Source organism: Homo sapiens, chromosome 7 (assembly GCF_000001405.40).
Source record: "Homo sapiens chromosome 7, GRCh38.p14 Primary Assembly".
NCBI lineage: Eukaryota > Metazoa > Chordata > Mammalia > Primates > Hominidae > Homo > Homo sapiens.
In genome coordinates this window covers 112,263,389-112,277,715 of record NC_000007.14, presented here as the reverse complement: position 1 = coordinate 112,277,715, position 14,327 = coordinate 112,263,389, and the positions used below count along the sequence as shown (strand labels likewise).

General features: G+C 35.9%; 1 protein-coding gene across 3 annotated transcripts in view, besides 1 other annotated feature; it reads right to left on the bottom strand.

Moving 5' to 3' along the window:
- ZNF277 (zinc finger protein 277) overlaps positions 1-14,327 on the bottom strand; it is a 137,240-nt gene that overhangs the window by 66,219 nt on the left and 56,694 nt on the right. The gene's annotated exons all lie outside the window — the stretch shown is intronic.
- Positions 12,123-12,727: an enhancer, noted in NCBI's record as "OCT4-NANOG hESC enhancer chr7:111905044-111905648 (GRCh37/hg19 assembly coordinates)". NCBI's record gives its function as "activates a minimal SCP1, AML or CMV promoter by ChIP-STARR-seq in naive H9 embryonic stem cells {active_cell/tissue: H9 hESC(naive)}" and the evidence as "EXISTENCE:reporter gene assay evidence [ECO:0000049][PMID:30033119]".

Genomic DNA, 14,327 nt, shown 5'->3' with positions numbered 1-14,327 from the left:
TGTGATGAAAAAAATGCTCTATATCTACTCTGTCGAACAATGGTAGCTATTAGGCACATGCGGAGATTGAGCATTTAAAACATGAATAGTGAGACTTGGAAATTGAATTTTAATTTAGTTTTAATTAATTTAAATTTAATAGCCACAAGTGGCTATTGACTAGTCTATTAGACAAGACAGATCGAATTTATGCAGATGTTCTTAACCTGAGGTCAGTGGGCACTTGATTGAGAGACTGGGGTTTCGGGAATTCAATGGGAAACTATATAAATACTGTGTGTATGTTAATTTTTTCTGGGAAGAAAGTCTCTTGATTTAATATTAATAGATTCTTGGCCAGGCGTGGTGGCTCACGCCCATAATCCCAGCACTTTGGAAGGCTGAGGTGGGCAGATCATGAGGTCAGGAGATCGAGACCATCTTGGCTAACATGGTGAAACCCCGTCTCTAATAAAAATACAAAAAATTAGCCGGGCTGGTGGCACGCGCCTGTAGTCCCAGCTACTCAGGGGGCTGAGGCAGGAGAATGGTGTGAACCTGGGAGGCGGAGCTTGCAGTGAGCCGAGATCGTGCCACTGCACTCCAGCCTGGGCGACAGAGGGAGACTCTGTCTCAAAAAAAAAAAAAAAAAAAAAAAATCAACAGATTCTTAAAAGGGTTCTGGGGACCCATAAAAATTTAAAAATCATGTATCCTGTTACTTATATTTTCTATCATTTGATCCACGATTTTTATTTATAATGTGTAAGTGAATAGTGTCATTCAATTGGGATTTCAAACAACAAAATAACTTACTAAAATAACCATCATTCTGGTTATTCTCATTTTGCAGTCAGAGCAGAAATAGCCTGAAGACAGAACAGGCCATAGTTATACAAGGCATAATATGGAAACTACAGATAAATACCCTTGGTAAATGTAATTCTTAATATCTGGTTATCACAGTGCCTGAAATCTCCACCATTAAAGTTAACCCTTTGGACTACTGTTTCTGGAAGTAACATGTTACCTTTACATAAACACAGCAATTTACTAATAATAATTGCTATAATTAATTTTCTATAATTTACTATAATTAATAGGAGTGGGTTCTAAAATTATGGGGTTATATATTCTGGAAAGTCTCTAATAGGGCTAGATTACTGCATCCTGTCTACAACAAAAATTTATTTGAGAAAAGGCAACAAATTTTTCCACATAGACTCAGGGAAAACAAGTCTTTTGCTCCCCGTCCAAATTTTTATTTTTACATTCTCATTCTATAAAGAAAACTCTGTTTTAGGTGTTAAGCTTTGTAGCATCTTTTGTCATCCGACAGTTTCTAGGGAAGCCCATTTGTTCAATTTATAAGCAAGCATAAGCAATAGCAAAGATGAGACACGCAGGGGTTGAATAAGAATATTTGGCAACTATCCTACCAAAATATTAAAGCTATTAACATGTCCAACCTTTCTAGAAATACCCAGACATTTCTTTCTTATACATTCCCAAGGTACTATCCATCCATCCATCAGATTCCCCCACGATGGGCCGGGAAGTTGGTTATTTCCAAATCTATTCTTTTTGTCTAGAAAACTCTCAATGAGTTCAGGAGCTACTAAAAAATGGACTCAGCAACAAACCATCTGGTAGACTTGAGGTGGACCTCTTTGTAGAAATGGCTTGATTTCCTATCCATACTATGGGTGAATTACATGGTTGACAATACAACACTGATGAAGCTCCTTTCCCTCTTATGTCAGCAAAGCACTGCAGATTCTAAGATTTTGACTGCTGCCCCATTTCCGTGTGGCATTTCTTAGTTTCAAACTACCTAATGATGAAAATGTGGTTAAACTTCCTTTCTCAAGCAACTTTGGTAAAAAAGTGGGAAACTAATGGTGCAATGGTTACATTTCTTGGCTATAGATTATGAATGTTTCTGGTTTATACATGATACCTTCTTAATCAATTTCATAAAGAGGAATCAGTGGTGTCTACGTTAATAATGCAACAGTAACAACGATGTGGAAGCAGCTTTTTGAAATATTATAAATTCATGATAGAAATAAATACTAGGAAGAGAAAATAAATGGATTAAAAACAAATCCCTCTTTAATATGATAAATTATTGATTTATTTGTAGATTTAAATCAGACAAGATTTCTGGTGTTAAAAAATACGCTTTAAAACATATATGGTCAAGTATATTCAGTTCTATAGAAATACTTTCTATAACTCTACTGTTTAATGCCAGTGAGATTTAGAATCTAAAAGGAAATGAAATGAAGGATGAAGGACCATACTATATGTTATATGCTTACTTTACATACTCTTTCACATCAAAGACATTTCATTTTCTCTACTGCTTTTACTGTGCACTACTGAAGATACTTCAGAGCATTCAAATTAAGACTACTACGAGTTCTTACTTTGATAGGGCCAGGACTAGGAATGCTGGGGCTCTAAGTAGAATTCAAGGCTGGGTGTATACTGTGTTTTAAGAGGCAGATACTAATAGGAACTAAATTCTCAATGTTATTTCCTTACTACCAGTAGAAGGAGCAGACATTAGGGATTTGGGAATATAAATGTAGGATGATTTTTCAACAGTAAAGGGGAAAATAAGCAAAAAAGACATTAAAATCCTAATCTTGGTTCTGGTAAATCTAATTAACCAGAATAACCCATTGCAAACAAGCTAGTGATCTGAACAGGATGGCCAATGTAACAAAAGACACTGACAAACAAAAGGCTTTTTGGCAAGAATGGGAACAAAGTGACTGGTAAGTGCTTTTATTTATTTGGTTCTATAGAGGAAGAGATAGAAAAGAAGGGAAGGTAAACTCTGACACAGATAGATTTGATTGGTTATTGGCCTGTGTTATACTTTCTAAATAAGTGATGCCCAATGGAAATTTCACAGTACATTAACAGAGGTTGGATTTAACCTAATTTAATTCATTTGATATGACAGAGTATTACTTTGGAAATAGTAGTCTAGTTAATACTTTAATGAAATGAGTTGGCAACTAGAAAATTGTAAATCACCTATCTGATGCCCCCTATTATAATTAATGTTTTACATAGAATCATAAATTTCTGAGTTATGGGGCTAAGATTATCCCTATTTACAAAATTAAGTAGCTATGACACATTTTTATTTTACTGTTTGATGTCTTAATTCATGAACACAACCAATATTTTAACATAATAAATAGTTTTGTTTTTATGGAACAGATAAAGAATGATTCTTTTTAGGCCTATAAAAGTTAATAAAGGCAGGGTGCTGTGGCTCATGCTTCTAATCACAGCATGTTGAAAGGCTGATGCAGGAGGATCACTTGAGCCCAGGAGCTCAAAACTGGCTTGGGTAACATGGCAAGACTCAGTCTTTACAAAAAATAAAAAATCAGCTGGGCATGGTGGCACACACTTGTGGTCCCAGCTACTTGGGAGGCTGAGGTGAGAGGATTGCTTGGGCCCGGGAGGTTGAGGCTTCAGTGAGCTGTGATCGTGTCACCTCACGCCAGCCTGGGTGACAGAGCAAAACCCTATCTCAAAAAACAAAGGCAAAATGAAAATTAATAAAAAATAAACTTTTGAAAGTACCATATAACCACTCATTTAAATTCTTATTTTTGAACATGTGAATTTCTCAAACTTTTCTAACAAGATATATATATATATATATCTCATACTATATATTAATATATAATTGCTATAAAGCAAGACTCGATTTGAAAATGAAAACTAATAAATTGTCTTTTAGTTCTAGTATATGAGATAGAAACTTTCTTAAATTAGGCAAGTCTTAGCTGATACTCATTTGATCATCACAGTTTTATGAACTTATTTCCCTAGAAAGTAATTCTCCCTTCTAGTTCACTTTCAGGCAAAAGGCTCTGCTAGATACTGAGGAGCAAGCAATTGAAGAAAAAAAATAGAGCTACCTTAACCTCAAATAACCACATTTTTTTTTAGACGGAGTCTCGCTCTGTTGCCGAGGTTGGAGTGCAGAAGAATCTACATCTTTTCCACCAGAGAGGGTGGTTATGTTCACAGACACACCTAACACAACTTTAGAATGTCAGGGAGCAAGATGGTTGAATAGAAGCCTTGACCGGTAATCTTCCTGGCAGGAACACCAAATTGAAAAACTATCCACACACAAAAGAATGCACCTTCATAAGAACCAAAAATCAGGTGAGCAGTCACAGTACCTGGTTTTAACTTCATATCCCTGAAAGAGGCACTGAAGAAGGTAGGAAAGACAGTCTTGAATTGCTCATGTCACCCTTCCCCCATCCCCCAGCAGTGGCCATGTGGCCTGGAGAGAGAATCTGTATGTTTGGTGGAGGGAGAGTGCAGTGATTGTGCGACTTTGCATTGGAACTCAGTGTTGCCCTGTCACAGCAGAAAGCAACACCAGGCAGAACTCGGCAGGTGCACATGGAGAGAGCATTTAGACCATCCCTAGTCAGAGGGGAATCACCCATGCCAGCGGTCACAACCTGAGTTCCAGCAAACCACGGGCTAAAGTGCACTTGGGTCGCAAATAAATTTGAAAGGCACTCAGCCACAAGGACTGCAATTACTGGGCAAGTCTCTGTGCTGTGCTAGGCTCAGAGCCAGCGGATGTGGGGAGCATGTGACCCAGTGAGACACCAGCCACGGTGTCTAAGGAAGTGCTTGTGCCACCCCTGGCAAACAGGCATATGAAAAGTTGCTCAACATCACTGATAATCAGAGAAATGCAAATCAAAACTACAATGAATATCATCTCACCCCAGTTAAAATGGCTTTTACCCAAAAGACAGAAAATAACAAATCCTGGTGAAAATGTGTAGAAAAGGGAATCCTCATATACTGTTGGTGGGAACACAAATTAGTATAGTCACTATGGAGAACAGTATGATGGTTTCTCAAAATACTAAAAATAAGGCCGGGTACAGTGGCTCACGCCTGTTATCCCAGCACTTTGGAAGTCCGAGGTGGGCGGATCACTTGAGGTCAGGAGTTTGAGACCAGCCTGGCCAACATGGTGAAACCCCGTCACTACTAAAAATACAAAAATTAGCCAGGCATGATGGTGTGTGCCTATAATCCCAGCTACTCAGGAGGCTGAGGGAGGAGAATCGTTTGAATCTGGGAGGCAGAGGCTGAAGTGAGCCAAGATTGTGCCATTGCACTCCAGCCTGGGCGACAGAGGAAGACTCTGTCTCGAAAAAATAAACAAAGAAACAAACAAACAAAAACAACTAAAAATAGAACTACTATGTGATCCAGCAATCCCACTGCTAAGTATATACCCCAAATAAAGGAAATCAGTATATTGAAGAGATATCTGCTGTTTGTTGCAGCACTGTTCAAAATAGTTAAAATTTGGAAGCAACGTAAGTGTCTGTCAATGAAGGAATAAAGAAAATGTGGTATACACAGTAGAGTACTATTCTGCCATAAAAAAGAATGAGATCTTGTCATCTGCAACAATGTGGATGGAACTGGAGGTTATTATGTTAAGTGAAATCAGCCGGGAACAAAATGACAAACTTTGCATGTTCTCCCTTATTTGTGGGAGCTAAAAATTAAAACAATTGAGCTCATGGAGATAGAAAATAGGATAGTTACTAGAGGCTGGCTAGTAGGGGGTAGGGGGAAGGGAGTATGGTCAATGGGTATAATTATAGTTAGATTAAATAAGAGCTAGTATTTCACAGTACAACAAAGTGATGATACTGTGTAACAATGTACTGTACATTTAAAAATCACTAAAAGTAAAATTAGAATGTTTGTAAGACAAATAAAGGATAAATTCTTGAGGTAATGGATATTCCATTTATCCTGATGTGATTATTATGCACTGTATGTGTGTATCCAAATATCTCATTTATCCCATAAATACCTACACCTAGTATGTACCCATAAAAACTTTCTTAAAATTAAAAAAAAAAGAATGTCAGAAGCATCAGAGGAGAAAAAAAGAACCAAGTATAATTTTAAGATAGCCCATATCTAGCAAGTAAGATACTAAATCACTAGATTCATGTCCTCCATTTCCAGTTACATGCCTGCCTGCTAAGGCAGGTGGTTTGGCCTTACTTTGAAGTATTTAATAAATCCTTTTTCTTCAAGTTACTTGGACCCATCAGGATTTGGGCTGCTTTTAAAAAATGTAGTTATAAGCAGTCTTTTAAAGCTCCTGCAAAACACCTGAGATTCAGTCATGTTCAGGACACTTAAAAAATATAATTCTCCAATTTATTTGTCTACTGACAATTACTCTATGTTCTCAGTGACATTAAGTATCATAAATCCCATCTCCATGATGTAACAGAATCCTCTACAAATATGTGACCACATCAGAAAGATCACTTGACTTCAAAGAGGAAGGATGAGGGAATAAAATGATGCTGGACAATAAAACAAGACACAACAGATTTTATTCCTAGCATTTTGGATACGGTATTAAATTTCCTGTTTTACATAACAAAAATAAATCCAAAAGGTGATAGAAATCTCGTATCTCTGAAAGAATAGGTTGTCTAGTTTACATAAATGGTACATGTTGCAAATTACTCATAACAATTAACAATGAATTCTGCCAGCAGTTAATCTGATTAGCACTAGCTTCAATGGAATGTCTAAATGGAACTTTACTGAAAATGACATCCTAATGAATACCATTATTTTTACTTTCAGGCAACAATTCTCAATCCTAACAGTATGTATGAATCAACTTGGGAGCTTTGAAAATATGCTGATTTTTTTACACAGAGATTCTAATGTATGGCTGGGATATGTTTTGTATTTTATTTTATTTTTATTTTTATTTTATTTTTTGCTACTCCCAGCTGCTTAGACAGAGATATGCTTTATGTGAAAGCACAAACCACTGTTCTAATGAAAACTTGATATGATCAATTTTATAACTTTATAAGTTAGTATAAGAAGATAGACACTATGTAGAGTAAGAGTTAAAAAATGGTTTCTGTTTTTAGGAAAACATATTACCTTTTCTATAGGTTTTGGAAGAAGAAATATTTTGTGATAGATATTATATTTTGTAGATACCTGATAAAAAAAGAAATGATTATTTATGAAACATAATTAGACTACAGTCTTTATTAATATATGTTCCTTTGAGTCTGCTCATATATATTTGATAAATTAAAGAATAATGTCAGAATACAATATAAGTTGTATTGGTTCATATGTATTTTTGCCAGCACAACAGTGGTTTGAATCAATCAGGGCCGAGCTTTCTCATTATTAAAAGCAAGCCTCAGCAATACATACAGATCTTTAACACAACTCCTGAAAATTCTAAGTCCTTCCTTATAGCAAATAGGGACATTTTCAAGAAAGCCAAGAATGAGGATGAAGATCCCTCAAAGGCATTTCTTCCTGGGTTTTAAAAACACCTGACTGACAGAGGTCTATACCCAGGGTTAGATATTTAATTTTGATGAAACTGACCTCAATTTGATGTAAGTGCCCCCAAGGACCTACATTTTGAAGAAGGAAGCATGAATCCTAGAATTCAAGGATGCAAAGAATCAACTGGACTACGATTGTGGGTGCAAATCCAGTGAAGAATTAACCATATTACGCTTTTTTTATGGGGATTACTTAACTGGACTGATTCTGGATGCGAATCCAGTGGAGACTTAACCATGTTATTCTTTTTATTAGGATTGCTCTGGTTACAAAGTTCCATTGGTTTTGAACGATCTGTCCCTAGCCCTCTTCCCCCATATGATCTCTATTATTCTTATTGTGTGATTTTGTGGAATGCAAAGTTTTTCAGCAACACAAATATGGTATTAGAGTAGAAGTACCTGAATATAACAAAGTATTTTTAGGGAAGAATAATACACTGGGACAGACAAAGGTATCTACTGGCAAAGTCTGATAATACAGCTCAGCTTCTAGATTTTGATAAACCCTTGATAAAGAAGGTGGGATTAGGGAACAAAGGCATCCCACATATTGAAAAAGTGCTTCTGGTACAGTATATCATGGCTTACAGCTAGAAAGGACCTAGAATCAAAAACCCACTTTAGAGATAAGAAAGCTATGACCCAAAACCTTTTTTTCTACCAAGGCATCCTCTTTAGTGAAGTGCTACAAGTCTTCTTGCATATGCCAATGTCCACTGTGATAAATGACTGGCTATCTTAACTGTTTCTACCTCAAGTTAACAACCATGTTAACAATGAGGCTTTGTACCTCCCTGATACAGTTCCAGTGTTTTTTTCCTGCAAAACAATAATAAAATAGTGTTTGGTTTACCAAAACATGCTTTACAACTAATTGTCCTAGAATAATTTATTCCCCCCAAAATCCAGACACATAAATGCCATACAGTGAGATAAACATATTAAATGGAGAAAGGTAACATAGTACCACTCAAGATTCCCCATCTTATGATTTGGGGTATTCATTCATGGAAAAAAGACACTGATATCAAAGAGATGTAGAGTCTTTTATTTACAGCAAATTGTAAAACAAACAAAAAAAAAACAAAAAAAATCCATTGTATTTTAAAATTTAATTTGATAACGCATCCTAGGAATAAGATCATGAACAAATTCAAGGTCTTGTCATTCATTGTCCATATGGTTCTATACTAATGACTAACAAGAGGCAATTATATTTGAATACTGACAAATCAAGGTGTATCAGTCAGGTATTATCATATTAATGCCAGATAACAAACTGTCCCAACACACAGAAGCTTAAGACAGTAAGTAGTTGTTTAGCTTACACTTCTGTGGGTTGACTGCATGGTGTAGAGATGTAGAATCTTAAAAGTGAAGAAACTCCTCAAAAATCTAGATTAAAACAAAATGCCCAACTGACTGTTTATCTAAAGTTATTAAGTGGCAATCAATGAAACCAAACCAGATGTTTATACAAACCACATAAAACAGATAATCAGTAATCTTAAAAAAATTGAGAGTAAATCAAAATAAGCAAGCCAAGGAACAATTATATGCATTAAAATACACCATGGTTTTGGTACATTTTACTCTGATCTGAAGGTAGGTAGTTATCATGATTCTAAAATATTTTCTACTTTGTGCTTTTAATTTTAAATATGCAAAAAAGTTTCAGGAACAATAATCTATACACTTTTTTTGTACTTCTTGTGTTATAAAATCACTCCAAATTTCTAGTGTTTACCAAATGATCCTATGTGGGCTAATGATCTAGTGTTTACCAAATGATCTCATATGCAAACAGAAAAAGACAAAAAGCAACACATTGTAAGTCCTCAAGGAAGATATAGATAATACTAATTAGGAATTCCAAGCTCCTGAGAAAAACTGTTCTTTACCTCATGGTAAGTCCTATTCAAATTAAACAAATTAAAAAAAAAAAAATTAAGCCCTACAGCTTTCCAGTTCAAAAACTGATTCAAAATACTCAGTCACTAAGCTGTGTTTTGTGTGTGTGTGTGTGTTTGTGTGTGCGTGTGTGTGCATGCAGGCATATGGTATACTTTCCCCCTAAATCTAAAATGAGCTTTTCTTTCCTGAAGGTCAACTCTGCTTCCTTTCCATTTTTGTACTTTCATACATGGTCACTTTCTCTGGACACTAGTTGAAAAGCTGTGACTTACTAAGAGGTATTTTCCTGATGGATTTGATTTATAGGAAAATTAAATTCACTTTCATGGCAAATTGTCATGAGGTACCTTTGACTTTCTAGAATAGGCACACAAAATCATTCAGATTGATATGAATGGGTCTTAACTGGGTCAGAGTTAACAAAAATGCATATCTGTCCCTATAAAAGAAAAGGGTTAGTTCCTGATGCTTGAGAATTTCACTCGTCTGTGGGAGCATCCAGGGAAATCTTGGTGAAGGTCTTGGCTGGGGCAAGCTGCCACCCCTGCTATTTTGAAAGTTCAGTGGGCTGACATCTCCTTTCTGGAAAAAGGAAATATCAATACTAGGGAAAACTTTCTTTCCCTCCATGACTCTCAGGTCCGAAGCCTCAAACCTTCTACTATTTTCCTAGTCAGCCAATATCCCCTAACAGTGAAAAAGGAATAGATAAAATGGAAAAGAGAAGAAAATGAAGGGGATGTTTAGAAGTAGGCAAGAGAAAGAGAGAAAAAAAGGCAGCAAAAGCTAATCACATGCTAGCAATTATTAAAGGGTTGTGCATTGTCCTTTCTGTATTCCCACTTTATTCTCCAATCTTTTCTCATTCTCAATTCTGATTCTATACAGCCTAAAGCATTTAAGAAATAATACCTTTCAAATAGAACGTGATAATTTTCAGTAAGATAACTAAAGTTAAAACATATCAGGAAAATGTTTGATTGCTGAAACTGATAAAGATGAGATCAGCATCAAAAGATACTAGCTTTACCAAATCCCAGCAGTCCACTGAACAATGATTATTGATCATATATGATAGCCACTAAATAAAATACAGAAATGTAAAATAAGTTATTTCAGTTGTATAAAATAAGCTAAGGGAACAATAATTCTATTTAACATATCCAATATACATAAGAATACATTAAGAGGCTATAGCAGTGGTCAGAGTCTTTCAGAGCTGAAAGATGCTTTGCTCTGAATCTCACTGCAAGCTGCCATTTCTGCTGCGTTCTAAACCAGTGATTCACAATTAGGTAGAGAATATTGTTATAATACTTTGGGAAGCATTATTACCACCCCCCACCTACCTTCCTGTGAAAACCACTGGAATGAACAAACTCTTACTCAAAAAGGAATAAAGAACAGAAAGTTTATGAATATCAAAGAGATGATTCCTACAGTTATTGGAATATAAGTATGTATTTTTTGATGCATTCAGGTTTTATTTATGAACTTCAGGAATGATTTATTTAAAATTTAACATTTATGTGACACTGATAATTCTCTAAGAGAAGACCCAGAACTATAAATAGCCCAGGGATATTTCGAAACCGAAAAAAACCACAACACTGCTGATATTACAAGTTTTTGGTGAAGCAATTCTTTTAGTAGTACAATAAAACTTCAAAGGTTTCCGTAGGATTTTCTGTGCTCCACATACCTAAATTTTATAATTATTTTCAAAAGTCAGTTTGGTTGTTACGATATGCTGGTGAGGTCTTTCAGTATCTTATCTGAAATCTCAGAAGCTACTGCAGCTCTTACCCCGCTGTCAAAAAAAAAAGTCTTCATTTTTTGATATTTGAATTTATATTTAGTGACAACCCTGGACCAATGTTAGTAACCTGATGGCCAGACAGTAACTATATAGCAATCTTAAGAATTAAAAAGTAGGCTGGGCACTGTGACTCTTGCCTGTAATCCCAGCAGTTTGACAGGCTGAGGAGGATGGATTGCTTGAGGCCAGGAGTTTGAGACCAGCCAGGCCAACATGGCGAAACCCTGTCTCTAATAAAAATACAAAAATCAGCTGGGTGTGGTGGCCAGTGCCTGTAATCCTAGCTACTAAGGAGGCTGAGGCAGCAGAATCCCTTGAACCCAGGAGATGGGAGGTTGCAGTGAGCCCAGATAGCGCCACTACACTCCAGCCTGGGTGACAGAGTGAGTGAGACTCCGTCAAAAAAAAAAAGAATTAAAAAGTAAATGTAACAATGTTATTCATAGGAATCATTTCCCTCTTTCTGCAGTAAGATGAAAATACTACTCACAGCTTCTATTTGTCCTTATCATTTAAAAGCACAGCAGAGCCAACAAAGTATCTGCCTCTAGTAGCTTCTTTCTGGACCCTTCCCTCTCCAAATACTGACCCTTCTTTTCTACAGAGAGGAACCCACTACTGGGTCTTTTACCATCTCCTCTCATTCAAAATGTAAAGGAACAGCTCTCAGTGATCTTCTTTACTTCTTGGGTGACCAATGTAATACTTTGATTAAAACTCTCACTAAATTATTTTGACTAACCCTTATAGTGTTTTGAAACAATTTTCTGAATAAAAAAACTGAACACATAGTTCACTGTAAAACTTTCAAGCAAAGTGAAAAGAAAAAATACCCATAATCTCACCATTCAGAAATAACCACCATTAACATTATGATGATTTTTCTTCATATACAGGCATACTTCACTTTATTGTGCTTTTTACAAATTGAAGGTTTGTGGCAACCCTGTACAGAGCAAGTCTATTGGTGCCATTTTTCCCCAACAGCACGTGCTCACTTTGTATCTCTCTGTCAAATTTTGGTAATTTTGGCAACATTTCAAAGTTTTTCGTATTATTATATCTGATATGGCGATCTGTGATCAGTGATACTTGATGTTACTAATTGTTATGTAATCGTTTTGGGGAGCTAACAAATTGCGCCCATATAAGATGGTGAACTTTAAGATAAACGTGTGTGTTCTTACTGCTCCACTGACCTGCCATTCTCCCCTTTCTCCTCCCAATTCCCTGAGACACAATGATATTCAAATTAGGGCAATGAATAATCCTACAATGGCCTTTAAGTGTTCAAGTGAAGAGTCTCAAGTCTGTCACTTTAAATCAAAAGCTAGAAATGATTAAGGTTAGTGGAAAGGCAAGTGGAAAGCCAAGACAGATTGAAAGCTAGGCCTTTTGTGCTAACCAGCCAAGTTGGGAATGCAAAGGAAAAATTGTTGAAGGGGGCTGAAAGTGCTACTCCACTGAACGCACAAATGATAAAAAAGCAAAACAACTTATATGGAGAAAGTTTTGATGAAGGGAGAAGTCAATAAATGCCACAAACTTCATTGTTGTCTTTTGTTAAGAAATTGCCACAGCCACCCCAACCTTCAGCAACCACTACCCTTACCAGTCAGCAGACAAACATTGAGGCAAGACCCTGCACCAGCAAAAAGATGACAACTCACTGAAGGCTCAGATGAGCGTAAGCATTTTTTACCAATTAAGTATCTTTTAATTAAGGTATGTACATTATTTTTTGACATAATACCATTATTGCACACTTAATATGTGTAAATATAACTTTTACATGTACTAGGAAACCAAAAAAATCCATGTGACTCGCTTTATTGTGAATATTGTCTTTATTGTGGTGACCTGAAACCAAACCCTTAATATCTCTGAGGTATACTTGTATATTTCAACATATATTTTTATTAAAATTTCAAAAAATACTTTCTTGATACTTTTTTTTTCTCCATTTAATAGCTACAAATAACTTTCCACACCATGGAATATCCTTCTATAAAATTACTTGCAAGAACCACAGTATTCTAACATTGAAACATAACACAATTTGTTTAACCGATTCTTCAGGTTAGATGCTTAGGTTGCATACATTTCTTGTTACCATAAATAAAGTTGCAGTGAAAACACCTGTACCTAATTTTTTGCCATTTTTAAATGATAATTTTCTTGAGACAAATTATTAGAAGTAGAATTTCTAGGTCAAAGAATATGGACATTTTAATGTGGTTTACTTATATATTATGTTGTGGCTAAAGAAAGTTTGGGCATTAGCATTTAGGAGTTGCATTCTAGGCAAAAGTGTAGGCCAGGGCAACGGGTTTTGAATATTAGTATACATAAGCTAATGAATATTAGTGTACATAATCCATTGGCTTATGCACAGTAATATTCAAAACCCATTGCCCTGGCCTACACTTTTGCTTAGAAAAGGTCATTGTGGCTGGCAGGAGCTGGAAGCCTCCTATCTAGTCAATGTCAACCTTTGCTTTGAAATGCCAAGATACATTTTGTTTTCTAAGGCGCTGTTTTTGTTTATATTTTTCAATGTTTTACAACTGAAATCTGTGTTTCCAGAGGTGAAGATTCTGACAGAGAATTTATCCTTTTGAACAGAGGTAGCTCTGAAGAGCAGGGCCTGAACTTTCATGAAGCCTGAGAACCCAATAAACTGTACACAAAAATGTGTATATTTATATGCACATTTCTCAGGGGATAGTGTTCACAGCTTTCAACAGGTTCTCACAGAGATATGTGATGCTCATAAAAGCTTAACAAAACCAAACCCACAAAAAGCCCACTGGCATGGAAAGCAAATGATATCTACTTACAACTGAGACAAATACTGCAGAAAATGCTGACATTGCAGAGCCATGTATTAACTACACACACAAATGCAAATGAACAGCATGTACTGTATAACACTGAGGAGTGAGACAAATTTGAGAGGCCACACTGCCCAGTGTGATGATCTGAAGCTACAAAAGCTGGGGCTTTCATAGTTGAAGGGCTTTACTCTCTTTAAGGTCAGACTGATAAAGAAGAAGGCCTGTTTCTATTAGGCATCATGCTAGGAATTTTACATGTAGTCTCTGATTTAATTATCAGAAATGTCCTATGAGGAAGGCAGTTTTATTATTGTTAAGTAGTAAGAATCATAAACA